Here is a 20,718-nt window from a genome sequence, read left to right on the forward strand (position 1 = left end):
TAAAATGAGAATTCCTTGTTATATAATAAGCCAGTTTATCAGCTTTTTTTGAAGGAAGAAAGGGCAACATAGTGATATCTTGTCTCTACTAAAAATTTAAACATTAGCCGGGTGTGGTGGTATGCACCTGTAGTCCCAGCTACTCTGGAGGCTGAGTAGAGGGAGGATTACTTGAGCCAGGGAGGTTGAGGCTGCAAGGAGCCATGACTGCATCACTGCACTCCAGCCTGGGTGACAGAGTGAGATCCTACCTCAAAAGTGGTGTTTTGTTTTTTTCCACCACCCCAATGCTACCTCTATAACTCACACATGATAGTTTTATAAAGATAACTACCTGGCATTCAGGTTAAAATGACAACTGCACCCAGAATAGGAAAAACTATAAATTATGCATTGGACTCTGCGATCACCAGCCCCTACTTGTAAATTTCAATGGAGATTCACTTTATTTCAAAATTAGAAAACTGATCTCAGAGTTTAAAACCTCATTTACAGCTCCAAAATATTTAGAATCTAGAATTATATAACAAATACTTACTTTCTTAGCATGCAAAAATTATTTACAAATCATTTAAAAAGGATGATCGACTTAACAGAAAAATGGGCAATGACAAACAGACTATTAGTTACCTAACCAATAGCCACTCCCCACTCACAACCTGTTCCTTACAGAGTCCACTTCCCATTATCATGGCTGCAAGGAACATCCTTGCTCTCTCACCCTCACTTGTATCTAGGACATGGATGGATACCAATCACGGCTGATGGGATTTAAGAAAAAAATCTGTTGGCCGAGCGCGGTGGCTCATGCCTGTAATCCCAACACTTTGGGAGGCTGAAGCAGGCAGATCACCTGCCTGACCAATAGAGAGAAACCCTGTCTCTACTAAAAACACAAAATTAGCCGGGCATGGTGGTGCATGCCTGTAATCCCAGCTACTGGGGAGGTTGAGGCAGGAGAATCGCTTGAACCCAGGAGGCAGAGGATGCAGTGCAGTGAGCCGAGATCGTGCCATTGCACTCCAGCCTGGGCAACAAGAAGCAAAACTCCATCTCAAAAAAAAAAAAAAAAAAAAAATCTGCTAAGGGCTTCCAGGAAAGGTTTTTAATTCCAAATAAAATAGATGTGCATGAACAAATATACTTCATCTTTACTGGTCATTGAACCTGGTGTGAACTACGAATCCTCTTTTTCTCACATGCCACATCCCTCAACAAATCTTTTCGGCTCTGCCTCAACATATGCAGAATTACTTCAACATTTCTCTGATGCCTATCATGCTTCAAATCATCTGTTACCCTGCTAATATTATCTAACATGCCTGCTTCTTCCTTGATCTCCTTCATTCTAGTCTCAACACAGCAGCCAGCATGAGAGTTTTAGAGTCTTGGTCAGATAAAGCCAGTCCTCCACTTAAAAGCCCCCAAAGGACTCTCATCTAATCCAGAGTAAAAGTCAAAAGATCTCACAATGGTCTACAAGGCCCTGCACAATCTGACTCCCCACGCTACTTCTCTTATGATGTTTTCTCCATAACTCAGCTCCTGCCACACTGGCCCTTTCAGTTCTATGAACATGCTAAGCACATTCCTGCCTCTGGGGCTTTTGCACTCACTGTTCCCCGCATCAGCAATGCTCTTTCCCCAAATATCTGCCTTTGCATTCTTATTTCTTTTAAGATTCTATTCAAACATCAGCTCACTGAGGCCTTCTCTGATGGCCCCACTTAAAACAATCCAACCCAGCCCTTCCCGTCCCTTCCATGGCTTTATTTTTTTCCATAAAACTTAACATCTTCTGACAATCTATAAATTCTACCTATTTGTTTGACTGTCTTCTCCCTTATCCCCACTAAAATATAAGCCCGTGAAGGAAGGCAATGAACTTTGTTTTGCTCACTGCTGTATTTCCCGTGCTTATGGACTACTGCCTAATACATTTTAGGTGGTAAATGATTATTTAAGTGAATTAATTTAGCAACTATCGACAACAAGCTGAGTATAAAACAGCAGGAAAATGAAAACCATCTAGGTCCGTGATAATTTAATTGAGCCACTGAATTACACCTGGACTTCCAGTCATGTGAGGTAAATTTTATTTATGGTTTAATGCATTTTTAATTAAAATTTTTCTTATTTGAAGCTGCAAAGTACCCGAAATAGGGTACTGGTAGGCAGTTTGCAAAAAAAAGTGACAAATATAATCAATTTAACTCAATCGTAAGGCATGCCAATTAAAATAACCATGAAATAATCTCACTCAAGAAAAAATAAAAGTTTGGTACATGTATAATCCCACTTAATATGACTCATTACAACAATAGTAGCATTAAAAAAATTTTAAGGGTTTTTTGTTTGTTGAGACAGGGTCTTGCTCTGTTGCACCGGCTGGAGTGCAGTGGCGCAACCATGACTCACTGCATTCTCGACCTTTTGGGCTCAAGTAATCCTCCCATCTCGACTCCTGAGTAGCTGGGACTACAGGCACGTGGCCGCACACCTGGCTTTTCTTTCCCCCCCCCAGTTAGAGACAGTGTCTCACTATGTTGCCCAGCAGACTGGTCTCGAACTCCTGTGCTTAAGTGATCCTCCTGTCTTAGCCTCCCAAAGTACTAGAATTATAGGCATGAGCCACAGTGCCTAACCATTTTTAAGTTTTGTTTTGTTTTGTTTTGTTTTGTTTTTGAGACAGTCTCCCTCTGTCACTCAGGCTGGAGTGCAGTGGCGCCATCTTGGCTCACTGCAACCTCCGCCTCCTGGGTTCAAGTGATTCTCCTGCTTCAGCCTCCTGAGTAGCTGGGATTACAGGTGCCTACCACCATGCCAGGCTAATTTTTGTATTTTTAGTAGAGACAGGGTTTCACCATGTTGGCCAGGCTGGTCTCAAACTCCTGACCTCAAGTGATCTGCCTGCCTCAGCCTCAGGCGTGAACCACCCCACTTTCTAAGTTTTATACCTAAATATTAATATATATAACTCAGTAAGAGTGTGATATCCTATCACCAGTATTTTCCCCACACTTTGAGTGCTAGATAGGACTGCCCACTCTTAGCCAATTATATAAAAATATTAGTTGATGCTGATAAAGTGCTTCCTCTTGTGCTGGCCACTTTTACATGTGTAACTTACTGCCCGCAACAATCCTACAACCTACAAAACCTTGTTTTCCCATTTTAAAGCTCAGAAGACTGAGCTACAAAAATAGATCAATGATCAGCCCCAAATCAAACAGCTACTAAGTGTGAGGCTGGGATTTGAACATAGGCAGTTCTGAAAACCAAAACCCAAAGCATTACAAACACTATCACCCATAAGCAGAGCATTCTCCTAAACTGAATGTGCCTTTTCCTGCCATTTATTCTGTGTTTGGATTCTGACCCACAACTACTGACAAAAGGTATTCAAGTAACAGCGCCAAACTTCCCAAAAGATATTTTGACAGAAAAAAATTAATTAAAAAATACATAAATGAAAAGACAAAGATTGGTGGACATCCTCTGTCTCACTTCAAGAAATCGAGATAATAACAGTAATTACTTTTTAGGTTGTTGTGAGGATTAAATAAATTAATATAGTACGTGTAAAGCACTTAGGATAGTGCTTGGCATACATTAAACCAATTAATAGTTTTCATTTTCATTGTAATTCTCATAATTATTATGAAAGGCTCCATAAATACCACTAAGCCTAGAAGGACTGACCAACAGCTATATGATTAGTAACTGGAAAAAACTATGGCCAGAGACATGTTATGACTTTAGGGATACCAAAAAGAAAACGACAATTGCTGATTTTCATTCTAGGAACAAAGTGCCAAAGTGATTTAGTAAAGAAAAAATGCTATTAGAACTCCCACTCCCATTTTCAGAAATGTAGGCCCTGCCTACTTTCTCTCCCACCAGGTATGTTGTTAGTGAGGATGCCAGGAAAAAGGCATACTCTGTTGGGGGAATCCAAGCCAACACCTCACTTTTGGAGGGCAACTAATGAATATCCATCAAAACTTGAAACATATGTACTGTCCTCTTCGATGAGAGAACTTTACATCTAGGAATTTATCTTCCAGAATATGTCCACACGTACAAATACACAAGTACAAGGATATTCCTTACAAAGATAATAAAACTGGAAATCAACTAAATGACCATCAGTAGGGGAATGGTTTAACTAATCAGAGGGCCTTCAATCTAGTTTAAAACCTGTTTCTCCACTAAGATCAATCTCTAATCTAAGTAAATGACATTTCTGTCCACTCAACTACTGAAGCCACAAATCTAGAAGACAATTTTAATTCTTCTTTATCTCATATCCATCTCATCAAATCCTTTAGCAGATCTTACCGCTGTAACTTTCCAAGCTTTTTTTTTTTTTAGATGGAGTCTCACTCTGTTGCCCAGGTTGGAGTGCAGGGGCTTGATGTCAGCTCACTGCAACCTCCACCTCCCAGGTACAAGCAATTCTCTCCTGCCTCAGCCTCCTGAGCTTTCCAAACACTTCTGATTGCCTTTCTCCTCTGCCATCACTCTACTCTAAGCCATATCTGTCAAGGTTACTTTCACAGCCTTATGGGTGCCCTGGTTTATAACCTTCTAAGGGCTTTTGCTGCACTAAGGATAAAATCCCAGCTTCTTACCACGGTGTGAAGGGCACTGCTTGGGCTCCTGCTTGCCTCTCAAATATGGTCTCCTAAGTTCCCCTCATTGCACAGTAACACCAATCGTTTATTTTGGGAGATGGGAGGATCCCTTGAGTATAACACACTTGATATGGTTTGGCAGTGTCCCCACCCAAATCTCATCTTGAATTAAAGCTCCCATAATTCCCACGTGTTGTGGAATGGACACAGTGGGAAAGAATTGAATCATAGGGGTGGTTTCCCCATACTGTTCTCCTGGTAGTGAATAAATCTCACGAGATATGATAGTTTTGTAAGAGGAAACACCTTTCACTTGGTACTCACTCTCTCTTGCCTGCCACCACGTAAGACATGCCTTCTGCTGTGAGTGTGAGGCCTCCCCAAACACATGGAACTATGAGTCTATTAAACTTCTTTTTCTTTAAAAATTACCCAGCCTTGGGTATGTCTTTATCAGCAGTAAACGCACTAATACAACACTCATTCTTGTTTTGAGTCTTCACAATAAATCCTGCTCTTCCTAAAATGCCTCCACATCATTCACGTGTGTTTCAATGCCATCACTTCATACAGACCTTCCTGACCACCTTAGCCACATGCGTTCTCTCTCATACCATTAACAGACACACTCAGTACAGTACCACATTTTATTTTCTTCATAGCACTTCTCAGTATTTGAGACTAATTACGAGAAATGCATTTATTTTGTGTTTCTCACCGTTGAAATATTGTTCCATAAGGGCAGGAGCTTGGTCTCTCTGGTTCACCACTGAATCCTTACACCTAAAACACTCCTTGGCAAATTAAGCACGTGATTCATATCTTTGGATAAATTTTGAAAAGAATGAGATAGATGTGTATAAGCTAAAATGGAAAGATGCCTAAGATCAACCACAAAGTGACAAAATCAAATCACGATATAAATTAAATGATCCCATTATCATAAAAATGGATATAAGTACATACACATACATAGAAATAGCAAAGGTATACCCATAACAAAAGTCAAGGATACAGTAATTGTCTCTGAAATGTGGGGCAAAACAGGGAAAAGAGGGTCTTTCACATTTTTTGTTTTTTATTTTAGATAAGAGGCTCACTCTGTCACCCAGTGAAACACATGTTGCCCAGGCTGGCCTCAAACTCCTGGCCTCAAGTGATCCTCCTACCTCGGCCTTCCCAAGTATTGAGATTATAAGCGTGAGCCCCCTGCACCCAGCCCCTTTTACTTTTTAAGTTATGCCCTCCTGTGCTCTTTATTTTTACCAGAATGTATTACATTCATAACTTTTTATGTGACATCTTCTAATCTTCCACATACTGTAAAAGGCTTAACACACATAATGAGTACTCAGTTTTGTTTTGGAGACAGGGTTTCAGCTCTGTCACCCAGGCTGGAGTGCAACAGCACAATCTTGACTCAATGCAACCTCCACCTCCTGGGCTCAAGGGATCCTCCCACCTCAGCCTCTGAGTAGGTAGGACTACAGGTTCGCACCACCAAGCCCAGCTAATTTTTGTGGGATTTTTTTAGGGGTAGGGTTTCACCATGTTGCCCAGGCTGGTCTCCAACTCCTGAGCTCAAGCGATCCACCCACCTTGGCTTCTCAAAGTGCTGGGATTTCAGGCGCTCACCACCGCACCCAGCCAGTACTCGCTTTTATAAACACGCAAAACACCTCCTACACCACTTAAAGCTGCTATTATATTTCTACAACCTAACACATTCTGAAACACTGGATAAATAAATATCTAAATAATTATTAGTTTTTGGTCTAGTCCAGTTTGAGAACTGAAAGAGATTCTCTGGCTCAAATAGCAGATCAAACATATACATTTATCTCTCTTCAGCAAAAGACCATTTTAAACAGTAGTTTAAAAAAATTTAAAGCCAAATTATTATTAAAAAACAAAGTAAAATTAATGGAAAGAGATCTCTTCTAAAGTAAAGAAACTGGAGTCTGGGAGAGAGGAAACTAGTGAACCTAGCATGGGAGTTGGCACTTTGGGGTAAAACAATGGACTCTTGAATGTCAGAATACAAAAGACTAATTAACAGCTTAACCCTAAAGTAAAGCCTGCCTGCCAACCATTAATTCCCACCAAGAGCTCATTGTGAACCCTTCTACTAAATCTTAAAGCTGAGTGATATCCAAGGTCAGCAGATATTTGGTTAAAAGCCTACAATATAAATGAGACTAAGATAACAACAAAAATTACAATAGAGTTGACAGGTAAGAGGGAGGGCAACAAAATTTAAAAAAAAAATAAACCTTATTAACATTTTCAGAGACTCAAGAAGATTATTAATCCATAAAATGAGAAAAGATATTGGCGGGGGAGGAAATGAAGGAGAAATCTCAAACATTTAAAATATAACTTCCAATATAAAATTAAAAGGTCCAAGAATAAATAAAGTAGAAGAGATGGCCAGACCAAAAAAAAACAAACAAACAAACAGACAAAAATATTGGGGAGGATTAATTCAGTAAGTCTAATAATCCAACTAAAAGCAGCTATAGAGAAAACAAAGAAAAGATCACTAGAGGCCGGGCGTGGGGGTTCACGCCTGTAATCCCAGCACTTTGGGAGGCCGAGATGGGCGGATCACGAGGTCAGGAGATCAAAACCATCCTGGCTAACAAACACGGTGAAACCCCCTCTCTACTAAAAATACAAAAACTTAGCCAGGTGTGGTAGCAGGTGCCTGTAGTCCCAGTTACCTGGGAGGCTGAAGAAGAATAGCTTGAACCCAGGAGGCAGAGGTTGCAATGTGCCAAGATGGTACCACTGCACTCCAGCCTGGGCAACAGAGCAAGACTCCGTCTCAAAAAAATAAAAAAAAGAAAGATCACTAAAGCCGTAACATGAAAACTTTCAAGAAGTGAAGCACATAAAGTATTTTGCTTATTGTAATGGAGAAGAAAACACATCTGGACATCTTTGAGAAATTTCAGTTTAATGAGGATAAAAGAAGGCTCTAAAGGGATGGATGAAAATATGAAACACATCACCCACAAAGGAAGAAGAATCACACAGTATCCGACTTTTCCTCACCAACAACAATGGACATAGAAGACACTGGAGCAATCCCTTCAAAACTCTGAGGGAAAACAATTTTCAGCTTAATTGCACTTGAATAAAATAATACCAGTCAACTGTAAGGGCTAATGAGGACTTTTACAGATAAGCAAGGATTCAAAACTTTATTTCTCACATATTCTTTCTTAGCTATTTATGTGGGTGTACTGCATTAAAACAAGTTAGTAACTCAAGAAATGATAAAGCTCTAATAACAGTAGTAGCACTGTGCAAAAAGAGTAAGGAAAAGTTCAGCACAAAAACAAGGCAACAGGTCTAAATACTTCTAGCCCAAACTGAAGGAAATAGGACTAAGGGAAAGCAGGGGAGGGTGGGAGGGACTTGATATGCATAAAATAAGTAATAATGACAAACCACAGAAAAAGATTGATAAAATGAATCGTGAAAATATGACAAGAAAAATGCAGTTACAGATTCAAAAACCAAGAAACAATACAAAGAAATGTAATTACATACTACTTGCCTCTGCTGTGAAAAATATTACATGATCATAATAATGTAGAAACTATTCATTAACTTTTTTTTTTTTTTTTTCACTCTGTCACCCAGGCTGGAGTGCAATGGCACCATCTCGGCTCACTGCAACCTCCGCCTCCGGGGTTCAAGCAATTCTCCCTGCCTCAGCCTCCCAAGTAGCCGGGATAACAGGCATACGCCACCACGAATTTTTGTATTTTTAGTAGAGACGGGGTTTCACCATGTTGGCCAGACTGGTCTCGGCCTCCCGCCCTCAGGTGATCAGCCCGCCTCAGCCTCCCGAAGTGCTGGGATTACAGGTGTGAGCCACCACGTCCAGCCCATTAACTTTCAAGTATTAAAGTCATACCGGCCAGGTGCAGTGGCTCACACCTGTAATCCCAGCACTTTGAGAGGCCGAGGCAAGTGGATCAGTTGAGGTCAGGAGTTAAAGACCAGCCTGGCCAACATGGAGAAGCCCCGTCTCTACTAAAAATACAAAAATTTGCCAAGCACGGTGGTACGCACCTGTAGTCCCAGCTACTTGGAAGGCTGAGGTAGGAGAATAGCTTGAACCTAGGAAGCGGAGGTTGCAGTGAACCAAGATCGCACCACTGCACTCAAGCCTGGGCAACAGAGCAAGACTGTCTCAAAAAAATAAATAAATAAACAAACAAAGTAGTAAGGAGTACAATACAGCGCATAACTGTTCTCAACCTTGACAATGTCAATGTCAGAAATGACAGATGTAAGCACATAAAGGGAAAAGGAAAGGTAAAAAGAAGAGTTGCAGCCGGGCGTGGTGGCTCACACCTATAATCCCAGCACTCTGGGAGGCTGAGGCAGGTGGATCACCTGAGGTTGGGAGTTCAAGACCAGCCTGACCAACACGGTGAAACCTCATCTCTACTAAAAATACAAAATTAGCCAGGCATGGTGGCGCCTGCCTGTAATCCTAGCTACTCGGGAGGCTGAGACAGGAGAATCGCTTGAACCCGGGCGGCAGAGGTTGCAGCAAGCCGAGATCGCGCCATTGCACTCCAGCCTGGGCAACAAGAGTGAAACTCCGTCTCAAAAAAACAAACAAACAAACAAAAGTTACTGCTTGGTACATCAAGATCAACAGTCTATATAACATGAAGGAAAGTTCTGATATAAACTGCAGAGATAACTAGCAGAGAAATTAAAAGTGATTTTTAAAAAATCTATTGGGGAAGCAGATGTAAAGAAGCCAAATCCTCCTTTATCAGAGCAGAAATCAATCATAAATCATAACATATGTATATTATATAGTCACGACAATACCACAGGAAGAAATAATTTGAAAGTTTCCTTTGGAAATTGGACCCCTATCTTTCACCATATACAAAAATCAACTCAAGAAGGATTAAAGACTTCATCCAAAGACCTGAAACTATAAAAACCATTAGAAGAAAACCTAGGAAAAACTCTCCTGGACACTGATCTATACAATTCATGACTAAGAATTCATGAATTTAAAGAATTCATGACTAAGACCTCAAAAGCACAAGCAAAAAAAAAAAAAACAAAAATAGACAAATGAGACTTAAGCTAAAAAGCTTCTGCATAGCAAAAGAATCAGCAGACTGAACAAATGGCCTACAGAATAGGAGAAAAAAGTTTCAAACTATGTATCTCACAGGGTACTAACATCCAGAATTTACAAGGAACACAAATAATCCCATCAAAAAGTAAGCAAAGGGCTGTTCTGAATACCTCACTACTGATAACTGGTAGTGAGTTATCCCAATTGATGGTTCACTGTCAGTTACCGATCAAATTCCTTGTTCTATACTCTTTACTCCCCTTTCACTACTGCACTTAACTGGTCTTAAGAAAAAATTTTAATAAAAAATTTTTAAGAATTTTAAAGTTAGCAAAGGACATTAATAGACATTTCTCAAAAGAAGACATACAAACAGTCAACAGGTATGTGAAAAAAATGCTCATCACTAATCATCGAGGAAATGCAAATAAAAACCACAATGACATATCATCTTACACCAATCAGAATGGCCACTATTAAAGAAACAATAATAATAACAGATGTTGGGGAAGATGCAGACAATGGGGAACACTTAACACACTGTGGGCGGGAATGTAAATTAGTACCACCTGTATGGAAAACCATATAAAGAGTTCTCAAATGACTAAAAAATAAAACTGCTGGCCAGGCACGGTGGCTCACGCCTGTAAGCCCAGCACTTTGGGAGGCCAAGGCAGGTGCATCACCTGAGGTCAGGAGTTCAAGACCAGCCTGGCCAACATGGTAAAACCCTGTCTCTACTAAAAATACAAAAATTTGCTGGGCGTGGTGGTGTGCACCTGTAATCCCAGCTACTCGGGAGGCTGAGGCAGGAGAATCACTTGAACCTGGTGGGCAGAGGTTGCACTGAGCCGATATCATGTCATTGCACTCCAACCTGGGCAACAAGAGCGAAACTCCATCTCAAAAAAGTAAAAATGATAAAAAATAAAACTGCTATTCAATCCAGCAATCCCACTATTGGGTATCCACCCAAAGGAAAATAAATCATTATATCAAAAAGATAACTGCACTCGTACCTTTATCACAGCAACACTCACAATAGCAAAGATAGGGAATCAATCTCCATATCCATCAACAGACGACTGGATAAAGAAAAACTGGGACACATACACACACACACACACACACACACACACACACACACACACACACGAATACTATTCAGCCATAAAGGAAGAATGAAATCATGTCTTTTGTAGCAACGTGGAAGGATGGAAGGACCTGGAGGCCATGTTCTCACTTATAAGTTGAAGCAAAATAATGTGTACATGTGGGCACAGTGTGGAATAACGACACTGGAGACTCAGAAGGTTGGGAGGCTGGGAGGAGGGTGAGTAACAAGAAATTACTGAATGGGTACACGTACATTATTTGGATGATGGATGCACTAAAAGCCCAAACTGCAGCACTATGCAATGTATTCATGTAACAAAACTGCACCTGTAACCCTTAAATTGATACAAAAAAGTTGTTTGGAGAGTGGCAATAAGGAGTGAAACAGAATTCTTGATCCTTATTATAAGCATTCTGGGCTATTAGACTTTTTTCAACCATGTACATATATTACTATGCAAAGTTTTTAAATGGACTTAAAATCTGAAAGAACATTGATCTTTTAATGAAAAACAAAACCATAAGATACTCTGCCTAAACTTTCCCTCATAATGCAATGAATAAAACTTTAATCTTTCTCTTCAGGATAAATAATTTCTGAGGCTTTAGAACCACCTTAAAAGGTATCTCTAGGCCGGGCGCGGTGGCTGACGCCTGTAATCACAGCACTTTGGGAGGCCGAGGTGGGCAGATCTTCTGAGGTCAAGAGTTCAAGACCAGCCTGGTCAACATGCTGAAACCCTGTCTCTACTAAAAATACAAAAATTAGCCAGGCGTGGTGGTGCACATCTGTAATCCAGCTACTCAGAAGGCGGAGGCAGGAAAATCTGAATCCGGGAGGCAGAGGTTGCAGTGAGCCAGGATCGCAGCACTGCACTCCAGCCTGGGCAACAGAGCAAGACTCAGGTCTCAAAAAAAAAAGATATTTGTTGACAACTAAATAAGTCAAGTTACATGATGTATAGACTATCATCAAAATTACTGAACCGTCACTGCTTATCAAAGTAAAATGTAACCAAAAATTTAATGCACAGTACTTCGACCAGACCAAAACATTCAATTCATCCATAGTTTCCTAATTTTAATACTTATTTTACCAGAGCATGAAAATCTTTTTTGTTTTTTTGTTTTGTTTTGTTTTGTTTTTTGAGATAGGGTCTCCCTCTGTTGCCCAGTTTGGAGTACAGTGGCACAATCTCAGCTCACTGCAACCTCTGCCTCCCACGCTCAAGCAATCCTCCCACCTCAGCCTTCTGAGGAGCTGGGACCACAAGCGTGTAGCACTGTGCCTGGCTAATTTTTGTATTTTCTGTAGAGATGGGGTTTCTTCATATTGCCCAGCTGGTCTCAAACTCCTGAGCTCAAGCAAGCCACCCGCCTTGGCCTCCCAAAATGGCAGGATTACAGGCATGAGGCACCACACCCCACCAAAAATGTATCTTTAACACCTGTTCTCTAGATTGATTTAGGTTTTACTGATCTTAGAGGTATATACAACCATCATTTCAAACTCAACAGATCTAAATTTAGTTTAACTTCACTTTTTTTTTTTTTTTTTTTTTTCTGCCCAGGCTGGAGTAGTGGCTCGATCTCTGCTCACTGCAACCTCCACCTTCTAGGGTCAAGTGATTCTCATGCCTCAGCCTCCCAAGTAGCTGGGATTATAGACATGCACCACCACACTTGGCTAATTTTTGTATTTTTAGTAGAGATGGGGTTTCGCCATGTTAGCCAGACTGGTCTCAAACTCCTGGTCTCATGTGATCTGCCCACCTTGGCCTCCCAAAGTGCTGGGATTACAGGCAGGAGCCACTACACGCTGCCTAGTTCACTTTGCATTCTATTTTTTCCTTTGTACCTTTTAGAAGAAGCTTTTAAATAATATAAAGATTATTATTTTTCAATCTGTCAGAAATTGACAGGGAAAAGAACTTAAAAGTTTAAATACACGATACAAAAAGATTAAAAAGTTATCGCAAATTGGCAGGGTGCGGTGGCTCACGCCTGTAATCCCAGCACTTTGGGAGGCCGAAGTGGGCAGATCACCCAAGGTTGGGAGTTTGAGACCAGCCTGACCAACTTGGAAAAACCCAGTCTCTACTAAAAATAAAAAATTAGCTAGGCATGGTGGTGCATGGCTGTAATTCCAGCTACTCGGGAGGCCGAGGGAGGAGAATCGCTTGAACCTGGGAGGCAGAGGTTGCAGTGAGTCAAGATCATGTGCGCCATTGCACTCCAACCTGGGCAACAAAAGCAAAACTCTGTCTCAGAAAAAAAAAAAAGTTATCACAAATTATTGCTCATAACAGTTTAGTTAAAATAAAGAATGTATGTAAAACTACAGAGTAATAGCTTGATAGCAAGACAAAATAGTTTTTAAAAAAATTCTAGGAAAAATATGGCTGACTAAACTATGATGAAAGATTTGAGATATCAAAAATGGGCTGGGTGCAGCTGGCGTATGCCTATAATCCCAGCACTCTGGCAGGCCAAGGTGGGTGGATCACTTGAGCCCAGGAGTTCAAGACCACTCTGGGCAACATGGCAAAACCCAGTCTCTACAAAAAATACAAAAATTAGCTGGACATGGTGGTGTGTGCCTGTAGTCCCAGCTACTTGGGAGGCTGAGGTAGGAGAATCATCTGATTCTGGGAAGTCCAGGGTGCAATGAGCCATGATCACACCACTGTACTCCCGCCTGAGAGACAGAGTGAGAACCTGTCTCAAAAAAAAAAAAGGCATCAAAAATGGCTAAAAGAAAATCTTAAACAAACCATGAGTTAACAGATTAAAAAGGTGTTCTTGTTTGTTTTTTGAGACACAGTCTTCCTGGGCTGCCCAAGCTGGAGTGCAGTAGTACAATCATGGCTCACTGCAGCCTTGAACTCCTAGGCTCAAGTGATCCTCCTGCCTCAGCCTCCCAAATAACTGGGACTATAGGTGTATCACGACACACAGCCATTTTTTTTTCTTAGTAGAGATGAGGTCTCCTGATGTTGCCCAGGCTGGGCTCGAACTCCTGGTCTCAAGAGGATCCCGCCTTGGCCTTCCAAAGTGCTGGGATTACAGGTGTGAGCCAAAAAAGGTGTGGGGCCAAAAAAGGGTTTTTTTATTTTTTGGTTTTTTTTTTCTGTTGTTAGAGGTGGAGGTGGTAATGGTTTCTGTTTTGGAGGGAGAAGAGGTAGTGGTGGTAATGGTTTCTTCTTGGGAAGGAGTATTAAGGTTTACAGTGTTTACCATTTTATTTAACAATATTCTACTACAGAAACTGAAACATTTTAGATGTTAATAAAACATCTAAAATCATACTATGATTTACTTCTCCAAAGTACAAATTACATCACAAGTAAGCCTCCATGCAATGACATTTTTATCTTTATGGAGCATCATCAATATCAGTTAAATAAATTAGTGCAAATTGTTCCTAAGGAGAAGTTTAGTTTCCACTTTACCATTAAAAGCCAAGTGCCTATGATGCAGATGAATGCATTGTACAATATATTTCAATCAAGTCACAGACTCACTTCCCCACTATCCATGAAATATAACAAAGGACTAAGAAACATTAAAAAATAACGTATCAAACTTCCCACAAACCAAAAGACAGGAAGCTACTGAATAATCTGACACTTGGATTACATTTTCATTATCATTAAAATGTAGCAAAGGGGCCGGGCACGGAGGCTCACGCCTGTAATCCTATCACTTTGGGAGGCCAAGACAGGCAGATCACTTGAGGTCAGGAGTTCGAAACCAGCCTGGCCAACATGATAAAACCGGTCTCTACTAAAAATACAAAAACTTAACCAGGCATGGTGGCACACGCCTGTAATCCCAGCTACTTGGGAGGCTGAGGCCGGAGACTCACTTGAACCCGAGGGGCGAAGGCTGCAGTAAGCCAACATCGCACCACTGCACTCTAGCCTGGGCGACACAGCGAGACTCTGTCTCAAAAAAAAAAAAAAGGTAGCAAAGGAAAAAAAAAAAATAGGTCAGTGTTTAGAAAGGATACAACTATATCACGTCTTTTACTTATTTTACATTTTGTATTGGTCTAGAAGTTGAAAATACGTGCCCAAAACAACTATACAACTTGAGCAATGATTTTAAAACAAATATGACACTTTATATTAGAAGCAGCAACTATTTATTCAGAAACATATACTATTAGTTACATTTAAAATTTATCTTGTTAGAATACACTGTTTCCAAATCAACAGTCCTTACAAAATATGGAACATATACTTCAGTATTATTTAGCTTTACTTTTGTAATAGTGGCCAAGGTGGCCGGGTGGGGTGGCTCACGCCTGTAATCCCAGCACTCTGGGAGGCCGAGGTGGGCAGATCACAAGGTCAGGAGTTCGAGACCAGCCTGGCCAATATGGCGAAACCCCGTTTCTACTAAAAATACAAAAATTAGGTGGGTGTGGTGACGTGTGCCTGTAATCCCAGCCACCTGGGAGGCTGAGGCATGAGAATCGCTGAATCCAGGGAGGTAGAGGTTGCAGTGAGCCAAAATCGTGCCACTGCACTCCAGCCTGGGTGACAGAGTGAGACTCCATCTCAAAAAAAGAAAAAAAAAAATAGTGGCCAAGGTGGATTTTGTACTCTGAATATAAACTATATAGTTTATACTATACATATGTCTACTTATAAACTAGGCACTACTGCTTCAATATATTAAAAAAATTATTCTAGAAGATAGTTTATCGTACTCAGGGTTCCCCCCACCTATAGCTGCAGACCAATACCACTCGGTAGCCTGTTGGGAACCAGGCCACACAGCAGGTGAGCGGCAGGCAAGCCAGCATTAACCTGAGCTCGGCCTCCTCTAGATCAGCAGCGGCATTAGATTCTCATAGAAGCACAAACCCTATTGTGAACTGCACAAGCAAGGGACCTAGGCTGCATGCTTCTTATGAGAATCTAACTAACCTAACTAATGCCTGATGATCTAAGGTGGAAGAGTTTCACCCGAAAACCATCCACTCCGTGCTCCCCCTGGGGTCTGTGGAAAAAACTCTCTTCCACAAAACTAGTCCCTGGTGCCAAAAAGTTTGGAGACCACTAACATAAACTACAAGGTTTTGTTAAAAAAAAAAAAAAAAAAAATGTAGCCAATGTCCCTTGAGGGTTAATATCAAATATCTTAGAATAGGTAACAGTCTAATATGAATTTAACTGTGAACATAATGAAGTTAATTCTACACTATCTAAAAAACTGTTTCACTTAACATGCATCTAATTCATCAAACTGGGTGGGTTTCTCTCTCTTTTTTTTTTGAGACAGAGTTTCCCTCTGTTACCCAGGCTTAGTGTTACCCAGGCTTAAGTGCAGTGGCGCCATCTCAACTCACTGCAGTCTTGACCTCCGGAGCTCAACCTGATCCTTCCACCTCAGCCTCCCGATTAGCTGGGATCACACAAGAATGTGCCATCACACCTGGCTAATTTTTGTATTTTTTTTAGGGTCAGGGTCTCACTATGTTGTCCAGGCTGGTCTTGAACGCCTTACCTCGAGTGATCCACCTGCCTCAGCCTCCCAAAGTGCTGGGATTAGAGGTGTGAGCCACCAAGACCCACCTTAAAACAAGTTCTTTGAAAACATATTTGCTACGTAATAGTTATGAGCTTTTTAAAAAATTTCTTCTAATGTAATTAAATTCTGGTAATCAGATTTTCAGAAGAAATATGTTAAAATGCTGGTTAAGTGGGCCAGGTGCAGTGGCTCACGCCTGTAATCCCAGCATTTTGGGAGGCCGAGGCAGGTGCATCAGGAGGTCAGGAGATCGAGACCATCCTGGCTACCACACAGTGAAACCCCATGTCTGCTAAAAATACAAAAAAAAAAAAAAAAAATTAGCCAGGTGTGGTGGCGGGCGCCTGTAGTCCCAGCTTCTTGGGAGGCTGAGGCAGGAGAATCGCTTGAACCCAGGAGGCGGAGCTTGCAGTGAGCTGAGATCACGCCACTGCACTCCAGCCTGGGTGACAGAGCAAGACTCCGTCTCAAAAAAAATAAAATAAAATAAAAATAAATAAAATAAAATGCTGGTTAAGTGACCAGAGGTTTTATTTCTTGGGTTTTTTTTTAAATCATCATGGAATTAAACACACATGAAGAAATCTGTTGAAACCCCTCAAACTTGCAATGCTATACCCGAATCACAGTGTTCTTTCAGAGACTTTTCAAATTATACAAATATTTCAAAATGCTGAGTTACTCTACTATAGCTAATAAAACTACTTAAACTAAGTGGAAAACCTTGAGAACTAAAGGGGGAGGGGATATTATTTATTCTCATTACTCTTAAATCAACCAACTTCCAAATCCAGAATATAAAACTTTTATGATTATTTGTTCTTTCCCTGTTTACAAACCTAGTTCTGATTTCATTATTAAAAATATAGGCCGGGCACGGTGGCTCATGCCGGTAATCCTAGCACTTTGGGAGGCCAAGGTAGACAGATCACGAGGTCAGCAATTCAAGACCAGCCTGACCAACATGGTGAAACCCCGTCTCTACTAAAAACACAAAAAAATTAGCTGGGCATAGTGGCTGGCACCTGTAATCCCAGCTACTCGGGAGGCTGAGGCAGAAGAATGGCGTGAACCCAGGAGGCGGAGCTTGCACTGAGTCAAGATCGCGCCCTCGCACTCCAGCTTGGGCGACGGAGGAAGACCCTGTCTCAAAAAAAAAAAAAAAAATTAGCCAGGTGTGGAAGCACACCCCTGTAATCCCAGCTACTCAGGAGGCTGAGGCAGCAGAATCGCTTGAACCTGGGAGGTGGAGGCTGCAGTGAGCCGAGACAGCGCCACTGCACTCCAGCCTGGGCGACAGAGCAAGACTCCATCTCAAATAAAATAAAATTTTTTTTAAGTTTTAATTTATATATATTATATTATAAATATTATATATAATGTATAATTTTTATATATGAGATTATGTATATATGTATATGTATATGAGATGTATATATAATATATACATCTCAGCCGGGCCCAGTGACTCACGCCTATAATCCCAGCATTTTGGGAGGTTGAGGTAGGTGGATCACTTGAACCCAGGAGCTCGAGGTCAGCCTGGGCAACATCGAGAGACGCCGTCTCTACAAAAAATAAAAGATAAAAAAATTAGCTGGTGGTGATGGCACATCCCCACGGCCCCAGCTACTTGGGAGGCTGAGGTGGAAGGATCACTGGGGTTGGAAGGTCGAGGCTGCAGTGAGCCAAGATCTCACTCCTGCACTTCAGCCTGGATGACAGAGCGAGACCAAGTCTCAAAAAAAATATATATATGGTGTGTGTATATATGTATATGTGTGTATATGTGTGCATACACACACAATTCTCTATAACTAGTGCTGTCATACTTAATGCTTTAATAAGGTTAAATACATAATAAATACAATAGTTCATTTTGTCTTTAACAGTACAATCCAAGTCAAGTCATCCTTCCAAACCAGATACAAAAATATCCTATGAAAAGAAACAAAAACTTTTTATCCTTAGGATATTTTGGGGTTCTGGCCTTTTGTTGTGCCAGATATAATACCACTTGATAAGACTTTCAGCTTCATCCCATCCCATCCTGCAACAATGTTTTCAGTAGGGCGGGATCCGTGGCTCCCAATCAAGTCCGACAACCTGATCTCATGGCAGGGCCCACACAAGAAAAAAAAGAGCATTTTATTTCGTGCAACTTTTATGGCCCAGAGAATCTCTGACCCCCCACCCCCTCAACACACAATAATCAGTTGATCTCCCTCTCCCTCCCTCTCTCCCACCTCCACACCATCTATGAGAAAGAGGAGGGGGAAGAAGGTGGAAGAAAAGGCACGAGTAGAGAAAGTAGATCCGACGTAAAGCAGGCACCTAAAAAAAGGTGGGATGGATTTCTCCAAAGCCCAGATCAGGGACTCTGCTACAGCCAGCCAGTGGAGAATGCCTCTAATGTTAACGCTTTAGTAACCACTTACAAGAACTTCCCCTGTCTACTGCTTAATTTCAAATAACCCAACAGGTCCATTTAATTACTTTGTATTATTTAAAGAAATCTAGGATTTCTTTAAATAATAAAAGGGAAACGAACGCGTTTTAACATCATTTTGCATCACAATGTTAAAATCTTGGGTTAACTCCCTCAGTAAATCTCTAAATCCTTTCCAATCTACTATCTCTGGCCAGGAAGTCAAAACTGAAATATTAACCAACTAAAATGATCTTCATTCTTTGGTCAATTTTGCAGAGCAAAAAATTTAAATAAATAAATAAATAGATCTTCAATGTGTATCAAGGATGTCCTACTTGGGCCTCACTCTCCCAAACAGAGCCTATTTTCTTCCATTTAACAAAGGAAAATTCTCATTTAAACAAGTCTAATGAAGATGTTGCAACCTGGCCAAGAGCGGTGGCTCATGCCTGTAATCCCAGCAGTTTAGGAGGCCAAGGCAGGCTGATCACTTGAGGCAAGAGTTTGAGACCAGTCTGGCCAACATGGTGAAACCCGATCTCTACTAAAAATCCAAAAATTAGCCGGGCATCGTGGCAGGAACCTGTAATCCCAGCTACTCAGGAGGCTGAGGCAGGAGAATGGCTTGAACCCGGGAGGCGGAGGTTGCAGTGAGCTGAGATCCTGCCACTGCACTCCAGCCTGGGCGACAGAGCAAGACTCCCTCTCAAAAAAAAATTTTTTTAATGTTGCAACCAATTTTTCTTCCTCATATTTATAGATGTTTATCATGTTTTTTCTTAAAAGTTTTTTAAACCACCTTTTCCAAACCTCAAAACAAGCATCTATAATTATAGACAATTATTCTCCTGGCTCCGTAAACAATTCTATTTTTCCTTCTCCAACTTTCTAATCCTCTCATGAAGCTGGCCAAATGTATTCTACTCCTGACACCAAACAACAGAAAAAGAAACAACGTAACTGCAGTCTACTTCTTTTGTTTTAATAAACAAATAAACTAGCTTAAATGCACAGTGGTCTTGGATCACATAAGAATTTCAAAATAAATGATTTAAACACTTTAAATATTGTGGTGGGGGGGATGGTGCTGGTAAATAAGGGTCAAGTTCTGACTTTCTTATTGAGGCCAAGGTCAAGAAATTACTTTTTTCAGATCTATAAAATCTTACCAACTCAGAATCCTGATTATAGATTATCATCTCCTACTCAATACTTTCCAAATCTACAATGATATAGGAATCCCACTAAAATTCAGAATAATTAAAAGGAGTTAAGATTTAAGACATAACCAAAAACCAGCCCCTCTACAAGGCAGTTGACTGTACAGTTCATGCTTGTATACAGATGGACAGACTAAGAACAAACTCTACACTTCTGAGAAAAAAAACAAAACTAAACTAACAATGTAAATCTATTCATTCATTATAACAATTTCTTTTTTCGGAGACAGGGTCTCACTTTGTCCAGGCTGGAGTGCAGTGGTGCGATTTTACCTCACTGCAGCCTCGACCTCCTGGGTTCACGTCATCTTCCCACCTCAGCCTCCCGAGTAGCTGGGACTACTAACGCGGGCCACCATAGCTGGATAATTTACGTATTTTTTGTAGAGACAGGGTTTTGTTATGCTGCCCAGACTAGTTGAGCTCCTGAGCTGAAGCAATCCGCCTGCCTCAGCCTCCTAAAGTGCTAAGATTACAGGTGTAAGCCACTGCGCCCAGCCACAAAATTTTTAAATATCATTCCAAAGAACCATCTATAATGAAATGTGAAATTATGTTAAATACATATGTTTAGAAGATACAATGCAACTTTCTAGTTTTTATTTCCACTGTAACTAACTTCAACTATGAATAAAATTCTACATAAGT

The 20,718-nt window shown here is 40.8% G+C and overlaps 1 protein-coding gene across 1 annotated transcript in view, besides 2 other annotated features; it reads right to left on the reverse strand.

Moving 5' to 3' along the window:
• Positions 1 to 20,718, reverse strand: part of KMT2C (lysine methyltransferase 2C) — a 301,079-nt gene that overhangs the window by 257,918 nt on the left and 22,443 nt on the right. The window lies entirely within an intron of this gene.
• Positions 1,158 to 1,797: an enhancer, noted in NCBI's record as "NANOG-H3K4me1 hESC enhancer chr7:152091085-152091724 (GRCh37/hg19 assembly coordinates)". NCBI's record gives its function as "activates a minimal SCP1, AML or CMV promoter by ChIP-STARR-seq in primed H9 embryonic stem cells {active_cell/tissue: H9 hESC(primed)}" and the evidence as "EXISTENCE:reporter gene assay evidence [ECO:0000049][PMID:30033119]".
• Positions 2,302 to 2,596: a silencer, noted in NCBI's record as "tiled region #5889; K562 Repressive DNase matched - State 25:Art". NCBI's record gives its function as "represses a minimal TATA promoter and a strong SV40 promoter by Sharpr-MPRA in K562 cells {active_cell/tissue: K562}" and the evidence as "EXISTENCE:reporter gene assay evidence [ECO:0000049][PMID:27701403]".

This window comes from Homo sapiens, chromosome 7 (genome assembly GCF_000001405.40).
Source record: "Homo sapiens chromosome 7, GRCh38.p14 Primary Assembly".
NCBI classification, from domain to species: Eukaryota; Metazoa; Chordata; class Mammalia; order Primates; family Hominidae; genus Homo; species Homo sapiens.